We start from the raw sequence: 15,224 nt of genomic DNA on the forward strand, positions 1-15,224 counted from the left end.
CCTGGCTGATGGAGCCGAAGGAGGGCTGGGACCCCAGCAACGGGCTGGATGAGCAGGAGAGCCGAGCCCCAGTCAGGCAGCACCCTCCACACCGGGGTTTCAATTCCTCTGACTCACACTGGCCTGCAGTAGCAAAAACTGCCCTCAAACTCCCAGCCCCGCAGGCTGCTTTCAGTTCTGGGCCCCGTGAGGAAGACAGACCTCAGGGGGGCCGGCGTGGGCTCACCCTGGCAAGCCCAGGGCCAGGCAGGCCAAATGGGTGGGGGAGGAGACTGCCTGTGCTTGTGGGGGCAGAGCTGGGGCACCCTGGAAGTCACAGCCCTCTAAGGGGCTGCCCCCAGCCAGACCCTGCAAAGCTTCGTGAGCAATCAGATCCCAGACAGTTCTGTAAAATTTCCAGCTTCTAATGATGGCTCAGCTGGAAAGAAGAAAAACAGCGTCCAAGCTAATGTCAGCCAGGCTGCCCCTACAGCTGGGTTCAGGGCTTCTGAATGCCTGGGAACCAGCATACAGACCAGGAAGTTTACTCCAGGACTTTTAGAACCACCCAACACACAGCAGGCTGACACATCAACTCCAAAATCACACTGCACCAGGAGGGCGGGTGAGCAATGCTCTATCTGAGTCAGAACTTAGTTCAGAAAAGATGATTCAGGAAGCTGAGATGCATTTGAGAATTGTTTTTCTTTACTTTAACTTTAAATTTCGGGCACCGAAACCAAATGCACCTGACAGCACCCTCCTGAGTTCACGCACTCACTAGGAGAAGAGAATCAGAATCCAGCCCCGGAGGAAGGGCCCCAGTTTCTTTCTCCCCACTCGCGAAGTTCGCATCTTTCGGAATAAAACCACTGAAACACAATCAGGGCTACGTGCATTACCTGTGGCCACTTTCCGTTGGACTGCGCCCGTCTCTTGATTTCTTCTACTGTTTTCCTGCGAGAATCCTGGTCTGACCGGGACACGAACACAGGCCGTATATACTGGATCAGAGCTGGAAGAGAGGAGGGGAGACGGATCACGTGGAATGCACGGCTCCCGCCAGGCAGGGCTGAGGAACGAGGGGGCTGCTGCATGGCGCCCAGTGGGGCGGGAGACTCCAGATGCCCCAGGGGCTGTGCCATGGGTGGGCTGTGAGTCCCTGACTGAGGGAACGGGAACAGCACCCGGGCTTCCCATGTCTGTGACAGCAGGAAGCCCTGTAGCCTCAGTGCCACAAGTAACAAACAGCAAGTCCATGGCACCCACTGAGGACACGGAGCACAGAACGGAGGTCAATGAAAGACAACCGCCAGGAAGCAGAAAGTCTTTAGACCCAGTCTTCACAGAGGACAGGGTTGAAGGTGCCAGGTCCCTAGATTGGACCCCGCCTTCCCCCTGTGGGTTGAACTGCATCCCCTAAAAGACAAGCTGAAGTCCTCACTCCTGGTACCGGGAATGGGACCTCATTTCGAAACAGGTGGTAGCAGATGCTCAAGGTCCCGGATGAGGGTCCCTATGGGAAGAGGAGACAAAGCAGATGCTCAAGCTAAAATCCCAGATGAGGGTCCCTATGGGAAGAGGAGACGAAGAGGGGGAGAGAAGGCCAATGATGAAGGAGGCCATAGGAGGATGTGGCCACAGCCCCCACCACGAGCCGGGAGGGCCGAGGGAGCTTTCAGAAGAGCCCAATGCGGCCAGCACTTTGTTCTGGCACTTCTGCTTTTAGACGGCGGGAGAATATGCTCCTGTTGTTCTAAGCCACCAGCTTTGTGGTGCTTTGTAGCACAGCCCCAGTTTAACCATGGCACCCCACAGCCTCCTGGAAGTTGCGGGGTTGGGGTACAAGGGACACCCCGCCATGAAGGCTGGTGCTCAGCCAAGGCAACGTGGCCACGGCACCTGTCTTTATGCAAGAGGATTGAACGTGGAAACATACTTCTTAGAAGAGAAAACTCTGAAGACTTTAAAATGAAACTATCCCTGAGTGGAGCTTCCTTTTTGAGGACGGTGAGCAGGATCCACACTCGGCGCCCCCCAGGCCAACTGAAGGTGTCTCTGACCCCACCACGGGCTCCTAGGCTGCTGCAGGTCAGCCCCACCTCCCCACCCCAGTTCAGTTTCCAGTTTCTTTTCTTAGCGTTTTTATTACTTGTAAGGAGTAGCATTTCATGACTTTTATTCTTTCTTGGAGGTTCTCTCCTCCAAGAACGAGAAAATTGAAGCCAAAAAAAGAAAATTCCTTCTATCCTGTGGTTGTCTGTTGGGTCTCTGTGGTCTTTCCTATGTCTTGAATCATTTTGCTTTTTCACGATTCCAGTACTATTTCATCCTTGCTCATTGGTTATTCCCAACTCTGCTAAAAAGGACGATATCGGAAGGGAAGAATGGCGGAGTCGTCTCGCAGGATGGCGCACGCGTCAAAGAAATGGCCCTGATTGCGTGGTCTTTCGGTGCCCACTGTTTTGGCCAAAGCGTCCCATGGTCGTCCCGGGGCACACGGGGTCTGGAGATGCCACCCTGCCACCTTCGCAATCCTGTCAGCTGGTTTGTTTTGTGAACAGAGTAGAGATTTCAGAAGTTGTCTATAACGGCAAAGAACAGAACAGTGACGTGGGGGCGTTTCACACTCAGATGGGTCCGGGGGTAAATGTGGGGGGTGCAGGGGGAGGACTCTGAGTGAAGTCTTGGGCCGTGCGTCTTCATGTGGGTTGCCCGGTGTGCCTTTCACGCTGAGAACTGGGCAGTGAGGACAGCAAGGAGATGCAGCTCCTCCCCGGGAGCCCTGAGGAGGGAAGGGTGTCACCACGCCGTGTGCACAGCCACACTGGGACTGGCGCATTTTGCCAGCAAGAAGGTGACAGCGTTCTGCCGTCTTTTGGGCATTTGAGGCTCAAACTTTCCTTGACAAGGTTTGTAAATGGATGGTGCGGATATGAAGGTCACTGAAAGGAAACTAAGAATGTGAAAAGGAAAAAATCTACCTGGTTGATCACTTTCATTGGTATTCATACATCTAAAAATGAAAATATTTTGAACATTTTCAACATTCATCTCTTCAACAAAGTTGTGAGCTGTCAAAGGGTCCACGAAAGGAACCAGAAGTCACCACAAGCTGGGACCGGGGAGATGTCTCTGAGCTGGAAACCTGGGAGACGTCTCTGAGCTGGGACCAGGGGAGATGTCTCTGAGCTGGAAACCAGGGAGATGTCTCTGAGCTGGGACCATGGGAGATGTCTCTGAGCTGGAAACCAGGGAGATGTCTCTGAGCTGGGACCAGGGGAGATTATCTCTGAGCTGGGACCACGGGAGATGTCTCTGAGCTGGAAACCTGGGAGATGTCTCTGAGCTGGGATGGGGGAAGATTATCTCTGAGCTGGGACAAGGGGAGATGTCTCTGAGCTGGAGCCTGGGGAGATGTCTCTGAGCTGGGGCCTGGGGAGATGTCTCTGAGCTGGGGCCTGGGGAGACGTCTCTGAGCTGGGGCCTGGGGAGACGTCTCTGAGCTGGGACCTGGGGAGATGGTTTTGAGCTGGAGCCTGGGGAGATGGTTCTGAGCTCCCGAATCAGAGGGTGCTCCAGGTGCGCAGTAGAGGAGTCATCAGCCACGCCCCAGGACAATGGCCCTTTCAGGCCAGGACAGCAGGGAGCAAAATGTGGTTCCTGCTAAGTCTGAATTCTAACGAAAATTTCTGATAAGCTTGTCACTATCCTCTCCCTCGCAGGTCCGTGGATTATCTCTGAAATGACAAGAAACACGCAGGGCTCCACGAGGGCCCTGCACACAGCAGCATGGCTGTGGCCATTCTTCCTGCTGCGCCGAGATGAAGGTCAGTGCTGGGTCACCTGGGTTGATCTGGAAGAGGTGGAATCCCGGGCCTCTAGAAAGATAGGACTACAACGTCCAGCATCACCGCACCAAACACTCCTTCGTGTTGGTGATCTCCACAGGGAGGCACCAAGGGCACAGGGAGAGCCCGGCCAACGCTCAGATTCACTCTGGGTGGGCCAGCCCCCCTGTCCAAGGACCCCTGCAGCTGCGAGGGTGCCTGGGCACACAGCTCCACAATCCCCCTCCCTGAGCAGATGACGAACGACCATGGGCCTTTGCCACAGTGGGGGGGCAAATGTGGTTTCCTGGGTATGCCAGAACCACAGGATGCAAAGGGTGCTGAGTGGAGCTGGGGCTGCCCCATGAGCCTGTGGAGCTTGCAGAGCGGGGAAACCTGCGTGTGAGAGCCAAGGCCATCACTCGGATGGTGCCTGCAGTCCAGTCTCGCCTCCAGTGCCGGCCTGTCCAGCCTCCTCCAGGCTTCCCCAGCCAGCCGAGTGCAGTGAGCCCTCCAGTCCCACCAAGGACCATCCCCGATTTCCAAGCCTGACCCAGGCAGACTCAGGCCACCCACAACTGCCCAGCTGCAGGCACAGTCTGGACACCTTCCGGCTGCTGCAGGCCCAATCCCCCATGGGCCATGCCAGGGTTCCTCACCCCACTTCCAGCCTTCCTATCCCAGCTGTGGCCACCACCCTCAGTGGTCAGCACCACAGAATGTGTCCCCACCCAGTCCATACTGAATGTGTCCCCCCAGATATTTTCTAGAAAACTGTCATATGAATGCTAACGTTAGGTGCTGCATGGAAACAGAGCCGGCAGGAGTGGCCAGGTGAGGGCCCCGGCCATAGGCGACGCCCCTCGTCCCAGCAGCTCCTTCCCTCAGCACCGCCCACTGCCAACCCAGGACCCGCTGTGCCCCAGAACGTGCTGTGCTGTGCTGATGGCGGCTGTGAAGGAAGCACGAGGACAGAACGGGCCCAGATGCCCTGAAGAGCACCGAGGACAGAGCTCTGGTGGGTCAGGGCTGCGCACAGGTGGGTGAGGGGCCACGCAGGGCTCCCTACAGTCCTCCCAGAGCAGTGGGTCCATGGGATGCGGCCCCCAAAGATGGGTCCACATGCTGACCCTGGAACCTGTGAATGAGGCCTTATTTGGAAAAAGGTTTTTACAGAGGTAACTCGTTAAGGATCTCAAGATGAGAGCATCCTGGATCACCCAATGACTGGTCCTTATAAGAGACTCATAGAGGAGACACTTGGAGGGAGCCAGGCCAGTCGACCACTGAGGCAGAGTCAGAGGGACGCAGCCCCCAGAGGAGGAAGAGGCAGGAAGGGGCCGCACAGGGCCTTCGGCCCAGAGACGCCTTGATTTTGAACATCTGGTCCCCAGATGACGAGAGGGTGAATCTCTGCTGGAGTGAGCCCCCGGCTTTGGGGAGGGGTCATGGCAGCACCAGGTGCTCAGGTCCCTGGTTCACGGCACAGCCGCGGTGCATGGGCAGCCCTGCCGACCTGCTCCCAAAGACTTCCAGAACTGCCATCTGATAAAGGTGAGCCACCCTTGCCAAGCAGACCTGGAGCAAGCACTGTAGCCTGTTATGATAGTGAGGGCACTCAGGTAGCAATAAAAATAACAATTACAACAACGAAAATTACACAGGAAACCCCAACACAGAAAATGGGGCACAAGGCCAATGTGCCCGGCGGTGGGGGCTCGATCACTCCCAGCAGCGTGGTGGGGGGGGGGTCCCTCACTCCCGGTAGGGAGGGTCTCACTCATTTCCAGCAAGTGGGGGTCCCTCATTCCTAGCAGGGAGGGATCTCTCATTCCCAGAAGGGGGGGTCCCTAAAAACCAGCAGGGAGTCCCTCATTGCCAGCAACAGAGGGGGTCTCACTCATTCCCAACAGAGGGGGGACCCTCACTCCCAGCAGGAGGGGAATCTCTTATTCTCAGCAGCAGGGGGATCTCTCACTCCCAGCAGGGCAGGGTCCCTCACTCCCAGCAGGGGTGTCTCACTCACTTCCCCAGATCGGGATGTCTCTGCTCTCTGCCTTCATCACGATGGAGGACATCGTCATGGTCACAGGGATGGCGTCGAAGTAGGACGAGTGAGGCGCGAGCGTGAGGATGGCCGCCTCGGTGGGCAGCGCCTGCCGCCCCTTCACGGCCACCCGGTGGAAGCCGCCGGCGAACCACATGGTGCGCATGATGGCCTTCAGCAGGAAGTCCACAACCCTGCAAAAGAGGGCGCTGCGTCACGCGGGCACACGTCCGCAGTCTCGGAGTCTGTGTGAGGCACAGGGGCGGTCCCACGGGAGAGCCCTCCAGGGCGCAGTCCAGGCCACGGGCTTCCTGTGGTCGCCGCCGCTGGGACATCTGCTTGAGGGAAGAAAAGACGCCGCGCCTTCCTGGCCTCCGCCTGTGTCCTCGCTGGCTGCGCTCTCACCTACGAAGGAGGCCGCGGGGCCCTGTGTGGTGGTCACGGGCCACGCGGCAGGCAGTGCTAAGACAACATGAGACTCCGGAACACAGACAGCACAAGTCCCAGGCCAGAAGACCTCCGGACCTTCATGTTAGCAACTTATTTATCAGCATCCTATCATTTTGAAATGGGAAAAACATTAAAACACCTAAAACGCATATCGCAATATGGGGGGGGGGGCGCTCAGAGCTGAGGGCGGAAGCTGAGACCTGCGTGCGAACTTCCCCATCTCATCTCCACAGGAAGCCCGGGGTTCCCACAACCAGGCGTTGTGTTATTACAGTGAGCTGTTTCTGGAGGAAATTAGATGGCCAATAAATTTGGAAAATAAAGTAAAAATCAGCCTAGGTTAACTGAATTTGTGTACTCTTTATCTCTTTTTAAAATAGGTACAAATTTAGCCTTTTAAATGTGTGTATTCTCTTTCATATGAGGCTACAGATTAGGCTGTTATTCCACACCTCAGGGAATTGACACGCAGCAGACAGCCACGGTGTGTGAGAAGCCACAGGTCAGGCACACAGAGAACATGATTCAGCCTCATGAGAAGCCACGGCTCACTCGGCCACTGGGTTAAGTGGGCGCATCACACTGGGTAAAACTACTGCACAGAGAAACAAGAGCCTGAAGCCTTACTGGATTCACATTGCCCTGGGACAGATGATCCTCCCAGAAGACTTCCAGGACAGGGGTCCCCATGGATCTGAGCCAAGGCGGTTGCTAGGAGGGCACAAAGCCTCCTCTCGTGGGGCCACCTTGGAATGGCCTTTGTGTATGCGATGATAAACAATGGTGTAGTTACACATGGAGATGCTGGGGACCAACCCAGGGTGCTGCTTGTCTAGAGGAGGGGGGATTACACAGGTGTGCACTTCTTCACCACCTGTTCAGCTGCATATTTAAAAATGTACTTTTCTGGCCAGGCATGGTGGCTCACGCCTGTAATCACAGCACTTTGGGAGGCCAAGGCAGGTGGATCACTTGAGGTCAGGAGCTCAAGACCAGCCTGGCCAACATGGTGAAACCCTGTCTCTACTAAAAATACAAAAATTAGCTGGGCATGGTGGCAGGCGTCTGTAATCCCAGCCACTCAGGAGGCTGAGGCAGGAGAACTGCTTGAACCCAAGGGGCGGAGGTTGCAGTGAGCCGAGATTGCGCCACTGCACTCCAGCCTGGGCAACAGAGTGAGACTCCATCTCAAGAAAACTAAACTAAAAAATAAAGATGTACTCTTCTGTGCACATGTTATTTTCCACAAAAAAAAAAAAAAAGTACAAAAACAAAAGCCAAAAGACAGCAATTGATGCCTAAGATGGAAGAAACAAGGCAGCGGCGGAGGGAGAAGCGAGGCTGCAGAGGAGGCTGCGGCGGGCACAGGAGCCAGTCTCGGGCAGGTTCAGGGGCAGGAGAGAGGACAGCAGGAAAAAAGGGATTAAAACCCGGGCGGCCCTTAGAGGAACACACCTGCCAGCCCCGAAATCGAATTGCAGGGACAGACGGTGCTCAGGGGAACTGTACTGGGTGTCGGGGCAGGGAAAAAGCAGCCTCAGCTCTTCTCTAAAGATCTTGGAGGAATTTTATACCCAAACTATCCACATGTGAAAACCCGGACTGCTGGTGTGGATGACAGCCTCAGAGAAAAGCTCCGCTTGCTGTGGGGTTGGGGACCCAGCACCCACTCACCCCAAGGCAAAGGGAGCCAGCACAAGCCCAGGGTGCTCAGGTGCCTGGGCAGCCCATTCCCAGGGGAATGTGAATCAGGAGACAGATCTATCTGCATACACAGGAGCGGGGATCTCCATCAGCACCCCCAGGAAATCCACTCCGTCCTACCGCCCTCACACGGACGACACCCAAGAATCCTGAGACGTGTGAGCAGAGCAGCTGCATGGCAGAGAAGCAGAGGACTGACCCCAAGGAGACAGAAAGGGTGGGCATCAGAAGAGGGGTGCAAAACATCCACCACGCTCGCCAAGAGAGTCTGGAAGAACAGGGCGCTGAGGAGCATCAAAGAACAAGAAAACACTCTCAGAAACCAAGACTGTCACTGTGGAGACAAGCAACTCACAGGAAAGACTGGGAAATGAGGAGGAGGAAATCTCCCAGAACATGCAGGGGGAAAAGGAGGAAGGCCGCTGAGGCCTGCATCTCCTCAAGCCAGCTGGCATGTGGAGGTGGGTGGGGGAAGCCCACACGTCTAAGCGTGAGGGGCAGGCGCAGGCCCCGGCTCTGCAGGTTCCAAATGTTCTGCTGTGAGCAGAGGCAAGAGGCAGAGTGGAGCCGGCCCTGGAGAGGACCTATACACATGTACACAGCCTGAGTGCTGGCTACGGTGCCAGGCCGGTGGGGTAGGGCAAAGGAAGGGGCCCTGGGGCCACGTCTGGCGGGGCTTCAAGGAGGCAAGTCTGGTGATCCACGTGGACTGGCTTAGCTGGGTCAGGGACGGCCCCTGGGTGGCTGGTGGGAGGGCTGTGTTGGGCTGGCAGGTGTGGAGGGGCAGCCCCAGGCTGAGACGCAGGTGGCAGGAGCTGCTGGCTTCTGGGAGACCAGATAAAGTGGTTTGATGCTCAAGTTCAAGCTCCAACCTCCAGGCCAACATACGGGGAGTACCTAGAGTCATCATGGGGATGGCATCCCCAAACTTGGGAACAGGTGTTCCCACACAGAGCATTCAGGAAAGGGCACCATCCATCTGAACCATCCGGTCAGCCAAGGGGCAGCCCCTGGAGGACCTGGCCCAGCTCAGGACTTGGCCCGTGGTCAAGGATTCAGCGCCAGATGGTCGGGTTTTGCAAAACGATGCTACGGTTTTTACAACACTGTGTGTGTTGAAAGTAACCTAAAATAGTGCCTTTTGCGAAACTGTGTCATTCTTTCACTGAAAGCCTAAGATTTTTATTTTAGGAAGGTTTGAATGACACTAACTTACATTCAGCAAAAATGCTTTAACTCAACATCAATCTATTCAAAACTGCAGAGCAGTGCATAACGTGAGCCAACTTAAGTCCCAAACCGACTACGTAATTATTATTCAGCGGTACACTCTGAATCTGCTACTTCAAATTCAGTTTCCTCCTGATCCCTTACGTCCCTAACTACGGTGCTTTTGTGACTAGGTTTCCCCTTGGGGAGTTCAGAATTCAGGGTTTGTTCTCTCTTCTGTTTCCCTTCAAGCACCAAGCCAAGCCCAGGACTGTGCACCAAGGGAGCTTTCATCAGTGCTGCTGAAGGAGACGCCAGGGGCTCCAGGGGTGGGATTCAATGCCAGGCAGCACGGGCAGCTTGAGTGCCCACAAGCATCCGTGCATACTCCCACACATGCACACATTCACACACATACACAGACATCGCTCTCATATATACTCACATGCACACACACACTCATACATATGTACACACATATACTCTCATACACATATGTACATACATCATACATATGTGGACACCTGTACACACGTACACTTGCACATATACACACATACATGTACACAGAGACACAACACTCATACACATGTACATACTGTCATACACGTACATGTATGTGCACACGATACAGACATCCATCCACACATATATACATGCACTCACATGTACACACATGCAACACACACAGGTACACAGCACACACATATACACATGTACACACTCATATACATACTTGCACTGGTGGCTCACATACACACAGTAATGCAACCACATGCCTATGCACGTGTACCTACTCCCGTGCATGCACATACATATGTATGCACACTCACATGCGCATATGTACACACATACACACCCTCTCTGCACACATACACAGAATGATACACAGTGAGTCTCCACAGACCCAGATGCCCAAAGATCTCATGAAGCAGAGGTGACAGAAACCCCAACGTGTCACTGTCACGGGACACTTCACACGTGCATGAGATGTACATATGAAAGCGTCTCTGAAGTACAGCTGCTAGAATAAGAGTCCGTTGTGGTCCATTTATCGCCTGTTGAAGCCAAGTCAATTATTCACAGACAAGAAAAGCCACCAGGGTTAGCATGGGGAAACGGAAAATTGCCCCAAGCCATCTATTTTGAAAAGTGAGAGCCTGTGCTCGCACGGGGCTCCTGCCTCCTGAGACAGAACAGAGGAGGCGGGGAGCTCGGCCCAACAAGGACATGGGGAGTAAAGAGAAAGGGTGCCAGGAAAGCACCACGAAGCCATTGCTGCCCACAGCACCACATTCAGCCAGGTCACCTGCAGCCTGCTTCACACTACAGAACCCCCACTTTCTAGCTGTGGCTTCTCAACTCAGCAAAACTGAAAGCCTGACTTTGATTTGGCCTTGATTTACTTTGCTTGGTTATATATTTGATACCCAATTCCTATTTTATGGTTAAAACGTTTCAAAAACAAACCAAGATAAAGCATAAGAGAATTTTAAAAATCTAGAAAGGCTAAATGAAGAACTAAAGCCCGTGATGATCCTGTTGCCCCTAAAGAACCCAGGCTGCCCCAGGTCACCACTACCCAGCAAGCTGCTCAACGTCCACCCACTCAGCAGGGCCCAGAGTGAGGGACCCCCAACGCCCAGGCTGCCCTCTCCTATGACTGCACCATGTCTGCACGCAACGGTGCGGCAAACCCGGGACCCTAAGTGGCCGTCTTCCCCCTGCACCTAACTGCATGTCTGAGTGTGGCCCTGGGTATCAAGGAGAACCGAAGCTCAGGCAGATGTCAGCTCCCATCAGCCTCTTGGCCGTGAAAACTTTGCTGTACATACAGCCCACAGATCAGACACCTTCCAGAGAAAGGAGGGGCCTGGGCGTGCCCATTACACCTTTCGGAGGCCAGGCAGTGAATGCTTTAGGCTCTACAGCCACACGGCCTCTGTCCCAACCACTTGGCCCGGTTCCCCACCAATGCAGCCCTGAACATCACGCAGGCCAGCGGGCGTGCCCGTGCTCCAGTAAAACTTTACTTATAGTCAGGCAGCAGCCTCCAATTAACTACTAATATTCCTGTTTCTGAATAAAAGATTCAGGGAGCCCCTCCAGAATGATGAGAGATGTTAACAACACATGGAAGGGTTGTCAGAGCTGTGGTTATAGGACACGCGTGGTAACTTTTAAGATACTGAAAATATTTATCAAAGTATTTATGATATCTCAACATTTTCATTTGCTAATGGCAGATACTTTCAGTGAAAGCACAGCTTTAGGAATTTAAATGAAACAAGAAAATATTGTGATTTAGTTTAATTTTTTGTGGTCTGTTTTGGATCTTTAGTTTAGATGTATTCCTCATCGGGTAGGTGTGCTTTATTTATATTCCGTGCTTAAAAGCCAGGAAGAGTTTAGGTCCACAAAGCAAGGGAAAGACGGCCCTGGAGGGGTGGTGCCAGCAGGCAGCAGGCCAGGCCAACGTTGGCTGACATGCAGTCTCGGAGGGCGGGGAAGGACCCGAGCCTCCTGTCCGAAGGCAGGGCTGGGCCTGGCTCCAGCCAGTTGCTGGCCCTGGGGAGCAGGCCCACTGGCCGGAGCTTCTGCTTTTCCAAGACTGGCCAGAAATGGGGATTTTGATGTCAAGTCACTGGGCCTTTATGATGCGGCAACCTGTTCCCACTTAGCCCAATTTTAATAAGACCAGGTTGGCAGGAGATGCCATGGTGGCCACCTGCCCCCCGAGCAGCCGTTCCCCTCATTGCTGCTGCTCTCACACCTGGAAGATGGCCCCTCCCGGGCCCACGGCACCCGCACCAGGTCCAGCTGCCTCTGCATGGGGGCCACTGAGGCAGGGACCTCCCTAGGCAGGAGGCCTGTGTCACTGTGGTGCCCTGTCACTGCAGCCCAAGAGGCCGTCCACTCACAGCCTGAGGGTCTGGGGGAGGCCACCATGGGCAGGGCCAGAGCTGAGGGTCTGAGGTGGGAGGGGTAAGGGGGCTGGCAGTCACAAAGCCAGGAGAGGGTGTCCAGAAGCCTGACTTTCGTCAGCAACAGGGAGCCCCAGCAGGTTCTGGAGCAGAGAAGGCTACGGTGTAGGGGGGTCTCTGTGCTCAAGGGTGTGAAACAATGGCCACACATCCTGCAGACCCCTGGAAAATGAAGCCTCAGAGCAGGACTGTGGCGGAGGCGTGGAAGACAGAGGCAACGGGGAGGTGGCCGAGTCCCCACTGGCAGGGGGCAGCCCTGGTGGACGCTGGGCTCAGAAGGGAAGGACAGATGGGCTAGGGTGGAGACACACAACCCCACTGTGAGAATGGGTTCCCACTGTTTGGCCGCGTGACCCCCCCCCAGGAGGAGAGCACGGCACACGCGCAACTTACTTCCTCCACAGGGCCGGGGGCTGCTCGGGTTCCTTCTCCGCAGAGCCCAGGGATGCGACAAGTGCGAGGGGCCAGGCCAGCAGCATCATGGCAGCGGCAACCAGGAGCCGGACCGGGAAGAGCGTCAGTGTCATGAGGGCCACCTGCAGACAGAGGGGGGCATTATCCAGAGAATCCATGTAGGACACCAGGCAGCTCCCCACCCGGCAGAGGCTAGCCCAGGGGGACAGCGCGCCCCACAGAGTGGAGAGCTGGGGAGGGGCTGCAGCTGGCACACAGCTGACCAAGGCTGACCAGCACTGACCGAGGCTGACCAAGGCTGACCGAGGCTGACCAGTGCTGACCGGCGCTGACCAAGGCTAACCAACACTGACCAGCACTGACCAAGGCTGACCGGCACTGACCAAGGCTGACCAACATTGACCGGCACTGACCAAGGCTGACCGGTGCTGACCAAGGCTGACCAACACTGACCGACACTGACCAAGGCTGACCGGCACTGACCAAGGCTGACCAACACTGACTGGCACTGACCAAGGCTGACCAACATTGACCGGCACTGACCAAGGCTGACCGGTGCTGATGCCGACCAGCCCTCACCATGGCTGTGGACACTGGCCAGTGCTAACTGACATGCTCCACACCCACTGCCCGCTTCCTGCCTCCTTACTGGAGCTGCCATGCGAGTGGCTTGGGAAAGACACAGTGGAGCTTCCTCCTGCAAATTCAAGGGCCACTCTGACGCACAGCACACAACCCCAGGCAGCTCCACCCCGCAGGACGCACCCCCAGGCAGCTCCGCCCCCCAGGACACACCCCCAGCCCCGCAGGCCTCACTCAGCAGTTTCCCCTGAAATCGTTTATGTGGACATGAGAAAGCATACGCCACCCTAGGCAGTGTTGGTGACAGGGGGAGGTAGCTGGCCTGCAGTTTGCAAGGTTGGACCTCAGACCACAGAGAAGACGGCAGAATGAAGGTGTGACTTTCCAGTCAATGGAAGACCCGGCGCAGGAGAGTGAACTGGCGGGAGGGCAGGGGCGCAGGTCAATATGGGGGCTCAGGAAGGCCCCCCAAGCCAGGGCAGGCCCCCACGCCAGGGAAGGCCGAGGCTGCGGGATCCCAGGCAGCCCAGGGTCTGAGGATGGAGGTCCCTCCGGGAGGCGGGCAGGACTCCGTGTAGAGGGGCGGGAGGCTTTGGGTGAGGGGAAACACCAGTCCTGAGGTGCAGGTTTAGTGCAGAGACAGAAAAGACCCAGGAGACACAGATCGCAGTTGGCTCCCCAAGCAGCAGCCATCCCTAATTTCTGATGCCTGTCATGAGAGCGCTCCCACTCTGTTTCCTTGGTTTGTCCCTAGATTCTTTTGAGTTCTCAACGGAGACCAGCATAGCCCAAGAGAAACATGCCTGCCACATGTGTCATTTTAAATTTTCGAGTGGCCACATTTAAAGGGAATGACAATTTAATATACAGCTCATTTCGCCCGGTATATCTGAAATACCATTTCGACACGTACTCAACGTAGAAGTTGCTACTGGCTAGTTTGCATTTTCTCCCGCTGTCTTGGATTGTGCAGTGTGCATTTCACTCTCACAGCTTTATGCCACCTGTGTCTCCACCCTGTCAGTGCCCAGTGGTCAGGTCAGCCTGTTGGGTACGCAGATCTAGATGATGTTTGGTTTGCGAGAGATGACGACCTCTAATTTGCCTCCCCTTCCCCGCTTCTGGGGGCTGCTCCTCACCCCAGCTGGGTCCCCGCTTCAGCATCACACTCGCTGCACCAAGCAACCACAAATCTGTTATCCCGCCATTGGTGACGATCGTCACTGTTCCACATCGTGTTACTGGCATTCAGCAAACGTTCTTTACTGCTGAGAAACCTTCCCAGGCCTCATCCTCCACGAGTTTTGTTTTGCTTTAAATCATGAACGGGTGCTGAGCTTTATCAGAGGTGCTTCCTGCATCTGTGGGGAGAGCCACGTGCTGCACCCCACTTGAAGCCACTAACATGATGCCTTACGGCCACGGTCTCTCTAATACTGAAAGCTAGCTTCAGCGCTGTGCAGCTCCCTGTTAGGATTGTTTTTTAAAAGGAATTGCTAGGTCTGTTGGCCACTGTCACCAGCTGTTAAGTAAGACGCGCCTGTCCGCTCCTGTCACTTCCTCCCAGCGGCTTCCTCGTGCAGTCGCCCTACGAAACCAGCGTGCACCCATGCCTGCCGGCAGCTCCTGACCGTTGCTTCACTGTTTCCAACCCTACTGTTTATAGAGTCCCTTTTTTTTTGGGTTGACTTCACTGTTTTTGTCAATGGGGAAGTCTCTTCCTGGAAGCTTTTGGCATATTTTTCCCTCCCGCTACCAAGGTCTCCTCCCAGCTGCCTTTAAGATAACAGTGAAGTTGCCCGCCACACTCTCCTTGGGTTCACACCAAGCCTGCTCTCTGGTTTCATTTCTAATGTTATCTGTGTCTGCCAAAACTTCTAAACCTACGTTGCCAGATATTTTTCTATTTTATCAGTCTTCTTACAGAACCATCTCAGATTTGTTCATTCTCTCTGTTGTGACCTAATCATATTAATTTTGGCTCTTATTAGTTCCTCTTTCTTCTGCTTTGAATTTAGTCAAATA

General features: G+C 54.9%; 1 protein-coding gene and 1 long non-coding RNA gene across 6 annotated transcripts in view, besides 4 other annotated features; one reads left to right on the forward strand and one right to left on the reverse strand.

Annotated features, from left to right (window-relative positions):
• Positions 1 to 15,224, reverse strand: part of LPCAT1 (lysophosphatidylcholine acyltransferase 1) — a 62,534-nt gene that overhangs the window by 27,438 nt on the left and 19,872 nt on the right. For 3 of the 5 annotated variants that reach the window (NM_024830.5, XM_005248373.4, XM_047417763.1), the window contains 3 exons: positions 12,597 to 12,739; positions 5,836 to 6,050; positions 882 to 994 (listed from right to left, as the gene is read on the reverse strand). In NM_024830.5, the coding sequence (NP_079106.3) occupies positions 882 to 994; positions 5,836 to 6,050; positions 12,597 to 12,739 (471 nt within the window). Of the gene's footprint in view, positions 1 to 881; positions 995 to 5,835; positions 6,051 to 12,596; positions 12,740 to 12,900; positions 13,337 to 15,224 lie in introns of those variants that run through there. The other 2 variants (XM_011514134.2, XM_011514132.2) reach the window with 2 other exon arrangements.
• Positions 667 to 6,655, forward strand: LOC124901162 (uncharacterized). Its single transcript, XR_007059103.1, has 2 exons — positions 667 to 3,809; positions 4,608 to 6,655. It is a non-coding gene; the product is annotated as an uncharacterized LOC124901162 (long non-coding RNA).
• Positions 5,073 to 6,272: an enhancer, noted in NCBI's record as "BRD4-independent group 4 enhancer chr5:1494052-1495251 (GRCh37/hg19 assembly coordinates)". NCBI's record gives its function as "activates an origin of replication core promoter dependent on BRD2, P300/CBP, MED14 and CDK7 cofactors, and independent of BRD4, by STARR-seq in HCT116 cells {active_cell/tissue: HCT116}" and the evidence as "EXISTENCE:reporter gene assay evidence [ECO:0000049][PMID:35650434]".
• Positions 11,386 to 12,277: an enhancer, noted in NCBI's record as "H3K4me1 hESC enhancer chr5:1500365-1501256 (GRCh37/hg19 assembly coordinates)". NCBI's record gives its function as "activates a minimal SCP1, AML or CMV promoter by ChIP-STARR-seq in naive H9 embryonic stem cells {active_cell/tissue: H9 hESC(naive)}" and the evidence as "EXISTENCE:reporter gene assay evidence [ECO:0000049][PMID:30033119]".
• Positions 12,278 to 13,168: an enhancer, noted in NCBI's record as "H3K27ac-H3K4me1 hESC enhancer chr5:1501257-1502147 (GRCh37/hg19 assembly coordinates)". NCBI's record gives its function as "activates a minimal SCP1, AML or CMV promoter by ChIP-STARR-seq in naive H9 embryonic stem cells {active_cell/tissue: H9 hESC(naive)}" and the evidence as "EXISTENCE:reporter gene assay evidence [ECO:0000049][PMID:30033119]".
• Positions 13,169 to 14,059: an enhancer, noted in NCBI's record as "H3K27ac-H3K4me1 hESC enhancer chr5:1502148-1503038 (GRCh37/hg19 assembly coordinates)". NCBI's record gives its function as "activates a minimal SCP1, AML or CMV promoter by ChIP-STARR-seq in naive H9 embryonic stem cells {active_cell/tissue: H9 hESC(naive)}" and the evidence as "EXISTENCE:reporter gene assay evidence [ECO:0000049][PMID:30033119]".

Source organism: Homo sapiens, chromosome 5, assembly GCF_000001405.40.
Source record: "Homo sapiens chromosome 5, GRCh38.p14 Primary Assembly".
Taxonomy (NCBI): Eukaryota; Metazoa; Chordata; class Mammalia; order Primates; family Hominidae; genus Homo; species Homo sapiens.